At 38.0% G+C, this 13483-nt stretch overlaps 1 pseudogene; it reads right to left on the bottom strand.

The window, feature by feature from the left end:
* SONP1 (SON pseudogene 1) lies at window positions 3213-5397 on the bottom strand (annotated as a pseudogene).

Raw genomic sequence — 13483 nt, 5'->3', positions numbered from 1 at the left:
TTCATCAGAAAACTAAACATAGAGCTACCATATGATCCAGCAATCCCACTGCCGGGTATATACCACCCCTAAAAGGAAATCAGTTTATTAAAGAGCTATCTACATTCCTATGTCTGTTGCAGCACTGTCTACAATAGCCAAGATCTGAAAGCAACCTAAGTGTTCATCACAGAGGAATGGATGAAGAAAATGTGATACCCATACGTAATGGAGTAGTATTCAGCCATAAAAGTGAATGAGATCCTGTCATTTGCAACAACATGGATGGAACTGGAAATCATTATGTTAAGTGAAATAAGCCAGGCACAGAAAGACAAACACATATTTTCACTTATTTGTGGAAGCTAAAAATCAAAACAATTGAACTCATGAAGATAGAGTAGAAAGATGGTTAGCAGAGGCTGGGAAGGATAGTAGAGGTATGAGGGGGAACTAGGGATGGTTAATGGGTACAAAAAAACAGAAGAATAAATAAGACCTAGTATTTGATAGCACAACAAGGTGACTATAGTCAAAAATAATTTAAATGTATATTTTTAAATAACTAAAATAGTATTATTGGGTTGTTTGTAACAGAAAGGATAAATGCTCAAAGTGATGGATACCCTATTTACCATGATGTGGTTATTACACATTGCATGTCTATATCAAAGTATCTCAGGTATCTCATAAAAATATACACTTACTATATACCCACAACAAATAAAAATTAAAAATTAAAAAAATAAATGTAGTACAGAGAAGAGAAGAACTTTCTATGATTGATCCTAGGATAATTAGATATCAAGATAGAGTAAAATAAATTTTAATCTCTTCATTATTACATATGCAAGCAACACAAAATAATTTCTAGTGAACTATAAAACTAAATGAGAAAAGAGAAAAGGTTTTTAAAACACAACTTAGTACTGTATCTTTATAAGTTAGAGTAGAGAAAATTTCTTAAACAAAACAGCAAAGATAAATGAAAAGATTGGTAAGTTTGACTACATTGAAATTAAGAACTTCTGTTTATCCAAAGACACAAGGAAGAAAGTGCAAAGCAGGGCCTCAGGGTGAGAGAAAATATTTACATTACATAATCCAAAACTACAAGTCATAAAGAACTACAGATTTATAAAGAAAAGACAAATAACAGAAAAATCACCACAAGACTTGAGCACTTTACAATAAAAGAAAATCCAAAGACAAAAAATCTGTAAAAATATGGTCAACCTCATTAATAATAAGAGAAATACAAAATAAAATCATGAGCTACTACTACACACCGATAGCAATGGCTAAATTTAAGTGGAGCAATGAGAACTAGGCTGAATGTAAATTGGTTCAACCACTTTGGAAAACTTTTTGGCATCATCTACTAAAGCTGACATGCATATATACTACCCTGTGACCCAACATTCAATTTCTGTATAAGTGTGTGCTTATATATACCAAAATGTTCACAATATCCATAATATCATTGTAATAATGCAAAAACTTGATACTACTCAAATGGCCATAAACAGTACAATGGACAAATAAAAGTGATGCATTCATACAATAGAATGAATTTAATAAAAAGTTAGAACACAGCAATAAAAATAAACTAGAATAAATGCATGAATAAATCTCACAAACATCATGTTGAATGAAACAAGCAAGATACAAAAGAATATAAATAATTTGATTAAATGAATATATAGCTCAGAAACAGGAAAAACTAATCAATATTGATTAGGAATGGGTAGAGCAAAGTGAAGTGATTACCATAAAAGCTAACACCCAGGAAGCAGGGAGTTGTGATGAGGAAGAGGCAGGCAAGGACTTCTGGAATCTTTGTAATATCCTATTTTATGATCTGGTGGTGATTATATGGGTGATTGCTTTACAATAATTTATTAAGCTAAACGCTTTTGTTATATATACTATGCTGTACATATATATTACATATGGAAAAAAGACTTAAAAAAGAATAGACTGGTAGTGAGAGATTGGAATAGGGCCATGACAATAAAAAGAGAAACTAAAGGAGTCAAGAGTAATTTTAGCAAACAGCAATGGTACAGCTGGGAATGATAATAGAAAAGAATCAAACATGATTTTCAGGTTTCTGACTTAAGCATCTGAGTGAATGGTGATGGTGACACCTGAGGGAGTACATGTAGTTAAAAAAAAAAAAAAAAGAGGCCAGGCGTGTTGGCTCACGCCTGTAAACCCAGCATTTTGGGAGGCCAAGGTGGGTGGATCACAAGGTCAGGAGATCGAGACCATCCTGGCCAACATAGTGAAACCCCATCTCTACTAAGAATACAAAAATTAGCCGGGCCTGGTGGTGCATGCCTGTAATCCCAGCTACTTGGGAGGCTGAGGCCGGAGAATTGCTTGAACCCAGGAGGCAGAGGTTGCAGTGAGACAAGATCACGCTACTGCACTCCAGCCTGGGTGACAGCAAGCCTCCGTGTCGGAAAAAAAAAAAAAAAAAAAAAAGATTGCTTCAATTTTGGATATGTTAATCTGGAGGTACCATTAAACACATGAATGATAATGTTCAGTGAATGTTGGCTATTTTGGTCTAGGCTCTAAAGAAAGAAATCTATTTAATGAAGGGAAAATCAAATGCTCTGAAAAACATCTGATCTCAAAATAATCCTACCACTGCACAGAGGTGTCAAGTGCCTCCACATTGTGTGTAATAAAACTAAATCTAATTTCACTTATGTAGATGTTCAAGGTTTTGCTTTTTAACCATTCTGTGCCCACTTTATGTGGGCTTGAAGTCAGATGTATTTTCTCTACCATTTGGACTCCCAAGGGACATTTGACCCTAAGGCAGAACTTAGCTACTTTCAAGTCTTTTCCAGAGCTTTGCAGTGAGTAAAACACAAAGCTGCAGTGCCTTTGCACTTGGGCTCTACATGTACATCCTGCTTTTTTGTCCCATCTGTGTGTGTCCTTCATACTGTATTTTAGCTCATTAATAGAACATTATGGCCAGCTGTCTGAATCAAAAAGGGCAATATAAAGGGAGAGGAAAATAAGAGGGAGGTGAAGTAGGGGAGAGAGAATTTTATTCTATTTGCATTTTATTCTATTGAGTGTTAAGCTTTCAAATGTTGTTAGGATCATAAAGCCGGGATGTCTCATTCTAAAATGAAGTACAAGTGAGGTTAGATCTCTACCCTATCTGGCCATGCAATGTCTATGACTTTCTTTTTTTTTTTTTTATTTTATTATTCCAGAGAAGTTAGTATTTGGGCCTTAAGCTTTTGAAAATAAAGTTTAGAAACATAGCATATGAATACCACTGTAATACACATGAAATATCCTATCAGACCCTAAAAATTAACATAAACTTTAACTTTCTCATAGTCAACAGAATAGTGGCTGGTTGCCAATTTTATTAGATAAGTTGGTTACAGCATTTTAATTATCATTTTATGTCTATCTAGGTGTAGCTGAAATTCAAAATGCACATCAAAGTAAAACTATATCACAACTCGATGCCATACTAAATGTACTTGGCCTCAGCAATAGTAGAATTCTACTCAGACTTCATTTTTTACTCCCTTCTTATGACCCAAGTGGCTTTAACAGGAATGCAGGACTTAGTGCTGATCATCACACCTCATACCCTTTCTTTTTAGAACCTCTACAAAATTTTGAGGGGAGATGGTTGCTTTAGCCCTGTGGAACAGCTCTTGCTTGATCACCTCAATAACACTGGGCCAGTATCTGTCCAGCAGAACCCACTGTGAAATAGTACAAGGTGCACAGCCCTTCACTGATTACAGGCAAGTGTTACAGTAGGCTAGCCATAAGGAAGGGGAGTTACATCATAGTACAAAATACAGTATAAAAGCGTTATTTAACATTCCACACTGAAGATTACTCTAATGCCTTCAAACAATCGTTTGGATGTTAGCCACTTAAACAAATACATCACTAAGATAAACAATATAAACATACCAAAACCCTGTATGGTTAAATACAATTTCCATGGTACAAAAATCAAAGCCTGGAGATGTTTCTACAGATTGCTTTTTACACAATGTCTTAAATTGCCAAATATTTACAACATTAAAGAGGAAACACATTGTGAGGCAGAGTAAAATTATCTGAAATGATTATTATAAAACCTCAATCTATCTATGTGAGGCACTCCTGAAGCAGGTGGCATTAGCCATGAGGTCCTTTGGTACAAGGCCCATTGCTTGAAGAACCACAGTAGCTGCTGTGTCTTTAGCATGCTTCTTATTAAGGCTGGCAAAGTTGGGCTGGTAAGCACTTCCATTTATCAATCCCTATTCAAGAAAAACATACAACTGGGCTGGTAAGGGCTTCCATTTCTCAATACCCTAAAGAGAAAACGTTTGCAATGATCAGGGCCACTATCATGGACCAATAGAAATTCAGGTGGTTGCCACCTTCTCTTATTTCAGATTTCCATCAAAGCAGACACAGGATGTTTGCCTGGCAGATCTTTCATTGCAGCAGAGAAGTTCCCAGACCTCTTTTTTGCTCTTTCTCCTACTGCAACAAGACCTTTTCGGTCTGTCTTAAAATCAACTAGGATGGGTTCCTTATTGCCTTCTTTGTTTTTTCCTAATCCTTCTCCTTCTCTCCAGCCCATTTTCCTCATCAAAACGGCTCCCGTTCCTCCAGTTACCGGGGCTGCTCTTAAGAACTGATCCTTTTTAATCCAGGTTGGGCACCAGTATTGGCCAACTGTTCTTGTGTCAAAACCTGTACTCCTGTACTTCCTGTGAACTGGCCAGGAATAGAGTTCAGCTGAGCCCAGGCATCAATCCTTTCCTGAGCTCTATTTAACATGCTCATGTCTTCAAGGTCAAATGCATTCTCACTGAGTCTTTTCTGAGCGAGTGCCCGTTCACTCATTGCTGTAGAGATGTCCACAGGCTCTGAGGGCAAATCGCTGCTGAAAACATTATCATCATCTTTGTTTTCTTCACCATTTTTCTCTACAGGAACTCATTCTCCATAAACACTATCTGCTTCTTTTTTCCAATGTTGAGATCCAGATGATACAGGGAATTCTTTTGTTAAGGTTACCTGGCTTTTTGGTGAAGCTGGTTTTGCTGCAGCAATATTCAGATTGAAAAAAATGGGTTTGGGTTCACTGAGTTTAAAGAGATGACGATAAAAAGGAGGTTCTTCTTCCTCTTCATCCAAAACATGAGGTTTATTCACTACTACATCATCATCTTCTTTACTCTGTGTGATCTGTTTACATTTCTCAGTTAGTTCTTCTATAGTAGGTCCTCTTGACTTTTTAGCAACTTTCTCTTCTATAGTAGGTGGAGGTGCAGGCTTTAGGTTTGGCGGGAAAGGGACACCAGCCTTAGCACACATGGCAGCTGCATTAGCTTTAGCTATTTCAAGTAATTGAGCCTTATCCAAATCTGTTAGACGTTTGGATGGTCTGCCTTGTTCAGAAGACTTGGATCTTTTACGACGGATGGGAGATCTGCTAAACCTTCTTCTCAAGGGTGTTCTTGATCGCCTTAATCTGATTGGTGAGATACTGAAGCTTCGTCTTCTTACCACAGACTTTGATCTTCTCTGGCGGCTGGGGGTGTGGCTCCGGCGGCTTGGGGAAAGGCTAAAGCTCCTTCTTCTACCCACAGAACTAGACCTTCGTCGACGACTTGGAGTATGACTCCGACTCTGACGACTTGGGTTTCGTGCAATGTCTATGACTTTCTTTCGTCTCTCCACTCATGTGGAACCTTTTCTTTGACATTTATATCATGTTACTACCTTGTTTAATAAGGTACTTATTTCATATTTGGTTTTCACATGGAAATTTGTGTATACAACTTTATCATATCTATCACTCTTCATAAAATCTTGTATACTTTCTTTTTTTAGGGATCCTATCTCATTTCTCTTTATATTGCCAACAGTAGCTATCAGAATTTCCGAAAGTTGTCACCCATGTTCACAAAGCTTCTCCCCAGGACAAACCCTGCCCTTGTGGGTATCCTCATGGGACCACTGGTGGGCAGTGGTGTAGAATTTTTCAAGAAAATTCAGAAACATATGTTAGCTATATAACACAAATATCTATTGGAATCCAAGGCTAAAATTTTGCTCTATATTTTTCATGCCAAATTAAGTCTGATAAGCAGTTCAGAGGTTCTGCAATAAGATTAAACAATGAGATCCTCCAATAGCAAAATTATAACAATGTCGAGATGCCACAAATTTTTACTACAAGCCTTTTTTTCCCCTTGTTAATATCCCTAGGAAGAAATTGAAGTTCAAAGATTAAATCGTTTTGTAGGAAAAATTCCAGACACAGTAAAATCCAAATAAACTAAAGCCTTAAATCAAATTGTCTTTAAGAACTTAAAGTAACCTCTGACCCCCAATTTATTATATTCTGCTTAATCTCAACTAAGTGTAAGTTCTCAATGTCTGGATGAAGCTAAGTTTGTTTAAGCAATTGCTGTCTGTACTGTCTCACAGCTGAATGGAATCATTTCTTTCAGAACCTTGGAGATTGTGTTGGTTCAGTGCCAAGACTCTCATGAGCCACAGTTTTAACAAGTTCAAAGGATTAATAGGGGATAAAAGATTATCACAGCACAGGCCCCGTAGCCACTGAATTCTAGAAAGCCAACCCCCAATTCTAGAGCAATAATACTAAGCAGGCTTACACTCTTAGAACCCTTATTTAATGTCTCTACAGACCCTGATGGAGATTCATTCACATATGAAGAAAGAAAAGTAGATAAAGAAATTCATTGTTTAGCTTCGCAGAATGCCAGTCAGTTGGTGCCAGTTGATGCCAGTGGACTCAGAGCCTTTAAACTTAAACTTAGTTGTGAGGAAACTCACAGCACTCACAAGGTTAACGTTGACACTAAAAGCATTTACTATTTTAAGGATGGGTGGGAACCATTAATTTTGTGCCTTTTTTTTAAGAACAGAAAGCATTTTTAGTTTAAGAATAAGTTTCACTTCAAAGATAGTAGTACACCTGTAAATTCTTACTGAAATCAAAAATTACATAGCAACAAAAAAATACTTATAGCCTGTCACAGGCTGATCACAAGCCTTTATAATAAAGTACACTATTCTTAGCTTTAATGTCCTGTATAAGCAAGCATCGCACATGAGGTAGCAGCATTCCTTCTCCTGCTTTCTGAGGATGCCCTACTTTGTAATTGAGTGGTTTCTTTTCTTTTTTCCCCAACTTTTATTTGAATTCCAGGGGTACATGTGTAGGATGTGCAAGTTTGTTACATAGGTAAACATGCATCATGGGAATTCGTTGTACAGATGATATCACCCAGGTATTAAGCCTAGTATTCATTAGTTATTTTTCCTGATGCTCTCTCTCTTCCCACCCCCCACCCTCCAACAGGCCCCAGTGTGTTCTGTTTCCCTCTATGTGTCCATGTGTTCTCATCATTCAGCTCTCACCTATAAGCAAGAACATGCAGTGTTTCGTTTGCTGTTCTTGCATTAGTTTGTTGAGAATAATGGCTTCCAACTCTATCTATGTCCCTGGAAAGGACATAATCTTGTTCCTTTTTATGGCTGCATAGTATTCCATGGTGTATATGTACCACATTTTCTTTATCCAGTCTATCATTGATGGGCATTTAGATTGATTCTATGTCTTTGCTATTGTGAATAGTGCTGCAATGAACATATGCATGCAAGTATCTTTATAATCAAATGATTTATGTTCCCTTGGGTATATACCCAGTAATGGGATTGCTGGATCAAATGGTATTTCTGCCTCTAGGTCTTGGAGGAATCACAACACTGTCTTCCACAATGATTGAACTAATATATACTCTCACCAGCAGGGTATAAGCTTTCCTTTTTCTCCACAACCTTGCCAGTATCTGTTGTTTTTTGACTTTTTGATAGTAGCCATTCTGACTGGTGTGAGATGGTATCTCATTGTAGCTTTGATTTGCATTGCTCTAATGATCAGTAGTGTTGAGCTTTTTTTCATGTGTTTGTTGGTCACATATATATCTTCTTTTGACAAGTGTCTGTCCATGTCCTTTACCCACTTTTTAATGAGGTTGTTTTTTATTTTTTTCCCTTGTAAATTTGTTTAAGTACCTTGTAGATGTTGGATGTTAGACCTTTGTCAGATGGTTAAATTGCAAATATTTTCTCCCATTCTGTAGGTTGTCTGGTCATTCTGATGATAGCTTCTTTTGCTGAGCAGAAGCTCATTAGTTTCATTAGATCTCACTTGTCAATTTTTGCTTTTGCTGCAATTGCTTTTGGTGTCTTTGTCATGAAATCTTTGCCTGCGCCTATGTCCTGAAGGGTATTGCTTAGATTTTCTTCTAGGGTTTTTATAGATTTGGGTTTTACATTTAAGTTCTTAATCCATCTTGAATTAATTTTTGTATATGGTGAAAGGAGGGGTCCAGTTTCAATTTTCTGCATATGGCTAGCCAGTTCTCCCAGCATCATTTATTAAATAGCGAATCCTTTCCCCATTGCTTGTTTTGGTCAGGTTTGTCAAAGATCAGATGGTTTTAGGTGTGTGGTCTTATTTCTGGGCTCTGTACTCTGTTCCATTGGTCTATGTATCTGTTCTTATACCAATACCTTGCTTTTTTGTCACTGTTGTCTTGTAGTATAATTTGAAGTCAGGTAGTGTGATATCTCCAGGTCTGTTCTTTTTGTTTAGGATTGTCCTGTCTATTTGGACTCTTTTTTGTTCCACACACATTAAAAAAATTTTTTTTTCTAATTCTGTGAAGAATGTCAATGGTAATTTAATGGGCATAGCATTGAATCTATAAATTGTTTTTTCATGATATCAGTTCTTCCTATCCATGAGGATGGAATGTTTTTCCATTTCTTTGTGTCATCTCTGCTATCCTTGAGTAGTGGTTTGTAGCTCTCCTTGAAGAGGTCCTTCACTTCCCTTGTTAGCTGTATTCCTAGGTATTTTATTCTTTTTGTGGCAATTGTGAGTAGGAATTCATTTATGATTTGGCTCTCTGCTTGTCTACTGTTGGTGTATAGAAATTCTCATGATTTTTGCACTTTGATTATGTACCGTGAGACTTTGCTGAAGTTGCTTATCAGCTTAAGAAGCTTTTGAGCTGAGATGATGGGGTTATCTAGATATAGGACCACGTTATCTGCTAACAAACATAGTGTGACTTACTCTCTTCCTGTTTGAATACCTTTATTTCTTTCTCTTGCCTGATTGCCCTGGCCAGAACTTCCAATCCTATGTTGAATAGGAGTGGTAAGAGAGGGTATCCTTGTCTTGGGCCGGTTTTCAAGGGGAATGCTTCCAGCTTTTGCTCATTCAGTATGATATTGGCTGTGGGTTTCTTATGCCCTAGGATGCAAGGTTCAACATATGCAAATCAATAAATGTGATTCATCCCATAAACAGAACTAAAGACAAAAGCCACATGATTATCTCAAATGCAGAAAAGGCCTTCAATAAAATTCAACATCTCTTCATGTTAAAACCTCTCAATAAACTAGACATTGAAGGAACCTATGTTAAAATAACATTTTGTGTCTTTCTTTTCCATTGAATCTATTCAAAGCATCTTGATTTTCACTTCCTCTTTGAGTGAAGTGCTCCTGACACCTCAGCTCTGAATTCAGTGAGGGACCTCTTATGTGACACAGCATCTACTCTCTCAAGTGAGCAGACCAACCTCTGCTTGATATGGAATTGTACTGGCCTAAGAAGACTGTCTCCTAGGGAATATTTTCACCTTGTACTTACATTTAGTTCAGTTAGAAAATATAACTGACCAGGTGTGTTTCCTCACACCTGGAGCCCCAGCACTTTGGGAGGCAGAGGTGGGTGGATTGTTTGAGTCTAGGAGTTCAGGACCAGTCTGGGGAGCACAGCCCCATCTGTATATGAAAGAATTAAAAAATTAAGCCACCTACAATAACTATGTAATCATGTCAGTAATTGTTTAAATGTTTTCCACCCTTGAGCCAAGAGAATGCCACATGAATTCAAGAGTAATCCATCCAGTTTGCTGCTTGGACCTGAAAGCAGGGTGAGATTTGGGGTGACTGAGACATGGGAAGCTTTTCTAGGCTTCATTCTAGCAATTTAAAACTAGATTCTCATTGGTGTTTTGTAGCATACAAGGAATCTTGGAGCCAAAAATATTATTCCAGTCACCAGTGCCTAAAAATGCTTTAGAGATTTCTATTTTTGCCCCTCCCTCCCCCCAAAAAAAACAAAACAAAAGACTATCTGCTTCAGCTATGACTACCTAGAAAATGTGACTGTGCCTACTGTGGGCCTCTGTTGAACCATCTTGCAGCCCCCAAAGTTCTGTTGCCAGGCAGCACTTGTGTCCTTCCAAGCACTTACTGCCCATACGTAAGCCCTTGCCTTGTCTGTCCCTGCTTACAAGGGCTTCGCAGCAATCTTGAAGGCCCTCACAAGTTTCTTGTGCCTTTTGCTTATTGACATTCATGGGTACAGTCCTGCCTCTATAGAAACAACCACTGACCTATGAACAAAGCCACCACAAGTCGTGTCACAAAACCATATGCCCTAAGACTGCAAGCATCTTGCCCAGGCTCAGTAGTTAAGTATAAAAGGTGGCTCAGAATAGGCCTCTACAATCTGGAAAATGCCCGTCTCTCTTACTAAACAAATCCCAAGGCTGAGAATGACAGGATCTCTTCCCACCAAAAGCCTCTCCTTGTAAATATATAGCTCTCATACATTTGTTCTTTTGTTTTTAGTTCTTTTACATCTAAACCCATGCCCCAATTGTTTGTGTCTCTGAAAATTTGCTCTGGAACTTTAGACTCCCTCACTCCCTCCCCACTTAAATCTCCACACAGGGGAAGGCGTATACTTGTTCATAAACCCTTCTGCCAGTAGAGTTGCATCCAGGGGGAAGAGCATGGAGTTAAGTTTAGCATGGGGCCAGGTGCGGTGGCTCATGCCTGTAATCCCTGCACTTTGGGAGGCCGAGTGGGTGGATCATGAGGTCAGGAGATCGAGACCATCCTGGCCAGCATGGTGAAACCCAGTATCTACTAAGAATACAAAAATTAGCTGGGCGTGGTGGCACGTGCCTATAGTCCCAGCTACTCGGGAGGCTGAGGCACCAGAATCGCTTGAATCCAGGATGCAGAGTTTGCAGTGAGCCGAGATTGTGCCACTGCACTCCAGCCTGGGCAACAAAGTGAGACTCTTTCTCAAAAAATTATAGTAATAATAATAATAAGTTTATCATGACTCAATTATTCTTCCCAAATTTACTGATCACATAAGGCACGTCACTTCTTCCAGGATGGAGTGAGTTAAGGAGCAGAAGGAGGAACAGGAGTAGGAGTTGCATGCACATGGAAGAAAATAGATGTCCCCCCAACACAACCATTCATTAATATATTCAGGCAAATGAAAAGTTATTCTGTTCAATTAGATTTGGCGTATTTAGCAAATAAAAATATGGGACTCCTAGTTACATTTGTATTTCAGATAAACAGTGACTACTTTTTAAATGCAATTATATCCTGATATGGCTCCATGTCTCCACCCAAATCTCATCTTGAACTGTACTCCCATAACTCCCATGTGTTGTGGGAGGGACCCAGTGAGAAATAATTGAATCCTGGGGACAGTTTTCTCCATACTGTTCTTCTGGTAGTGAGTAAATCTCACGAGATCTGATGGTTTGATAAGGGGAAACCCATTTCGCTTGGCTCTCATTCTCTCTTTGCCTGCTGCCATTCATGTAAGATGTGACTTGCTCCTCCTTGCCTTCTGCCATGATTGTGAGGCCTCCCCAGCCATGTGGAACTGTAAGTCCAATAAACCTCTTTATTTTGTAAATTGCCCAGTCTTGTTACGTCTTTATCAGCAGCATGAAAACGAACTCATACATATCCCAAGTATTGTATGGAACATAATTATAGTAAAAATTATTTGTTTTTTATTTGAAATACAAATTTAAATGAGACCCTTGCATTTTATCTGGCAATCCTCTACTGAGTGTTAGGCACTGTGCTAGGTGCTAGAATAATGTGAATATGACATAGTTCCTGTCTTCAGAGAGAGACGTAGAAAAATGTAACATTTTTGGCTACAGATGAGCAATTAAATTCAAAATACTCTTTTCTGAGCATATCTTTCCAACCACAGGAAACAATACTTCAGAGTCATCAACAACATCGTCACCTTTGAGCATGAAGTATATTTGAGGTTTATTCATATTTTGAATTAGTCTGAAATGACACACTGAATCTCGAAGCTATCCATATCCCACTGAACCTTCCTTTTGTTGATGAGCATGCTGTCCTCAGAGAAATAAAAAATAAGCCCTAACCGCTCCCTTCCCTAAAGATACTTAGATCATTGAGGAATACCATCAAAGGGACAGGATGTTTCAGTTCACTGTGATCGGTTCTGGAGTGAAGGAAATCCAAGTGTTATTGATGCACATGAGAGGAACACCCAGCCCAAATGTGGGAGGTCAGAGAATACCTCTCAGTAGATGTGGCACCATACTCTACAATTACAAGTTTACAAAGACCCTGTAGTGTGGATTAACTGGGTATAGTTTAAATAAATAATTTAATTTAATTTAAATAAATTGATATAACCAATATATCTTCTCCAGAATATTGGAGAAATCTCTAACCAGGAATGACTAAGCACACATTGAAACACATCCAATCCTCTTCTATTGTCATCCTGTTCCTTACTGTTTGTTGGTCGTTCATTTGGCAAGTCCTTATTGACAAATTGGTATGTGACAAGTGCTCTGTTAGGCATTGAAACAAAATGAAGAACAAACCAGGCTTGTTCCCAAACCTTGTAATACTATCTAATGAGAAAAATAGGCATTATACAATCACATAAACATATAGAGAATGATAAAATTTGGTGACTTCCATGGGAGAAAGAACATAATAATATTTGTTAAAAAAGAGGACCCTCTTTCCATTACCTGCCAAGGTTGGGCACCCTGAGGATGGGACATTTGATCTGAGATCATCTCCCATTTCTAATGTAAAGGTATCTGAATGATGACAACTTTATCCTGGTAGGTAGATTCCCAAGAATGGCTTACCTCTAAGTCTAAAACACGCCTTCCTAACAGAAGTTATATCACCTTCAAAGGGGCAAGAATTGACTCTTGGGAAGATGAAAAAAACTAATTTTTTAATGTATCAAACACAGCTATACATGCAGCACATAAACACATACATAGTATATTTGTGGTATTAAATTTTCATGGAAAAAGGGGGTGGCTAAAAACAAAATTGTCTAAAAAAGATCCTTAGGGGAGCAATAACGAAAAAATGGTTGAGAAACACTGGTTCAGAGTTTTTATTCAATAGTCCCTCAAATAATACTTACTAAAGGAATGCTTTCAAGAAAGAACAGTTAGAGGTGCGGGGGATATAAGGGGTAAGAAAAGGGGCCCTTAAATGTTAGTGGGAAAGAAGACACGAAAGCAAACAAGGAAATAGAGAAAATAATTGC

Source organism: Homo sapiens, chromosome 1, assembly GCF_000001405.40.
Source record: "Homo sapiens chromosome 1, GRCh38.p14 Primary Assembly".
In the NCBI taxonomy this organism is placed as follows: domain Eukaryota; kingdom Metazoa; phylum Chordata; class Mammalia; order Primates; family Hominidae; genus Homo; species Homo sapiens.
This window is presented reverse-complemented; position numbering and strand designations above follow the sequence as displayed.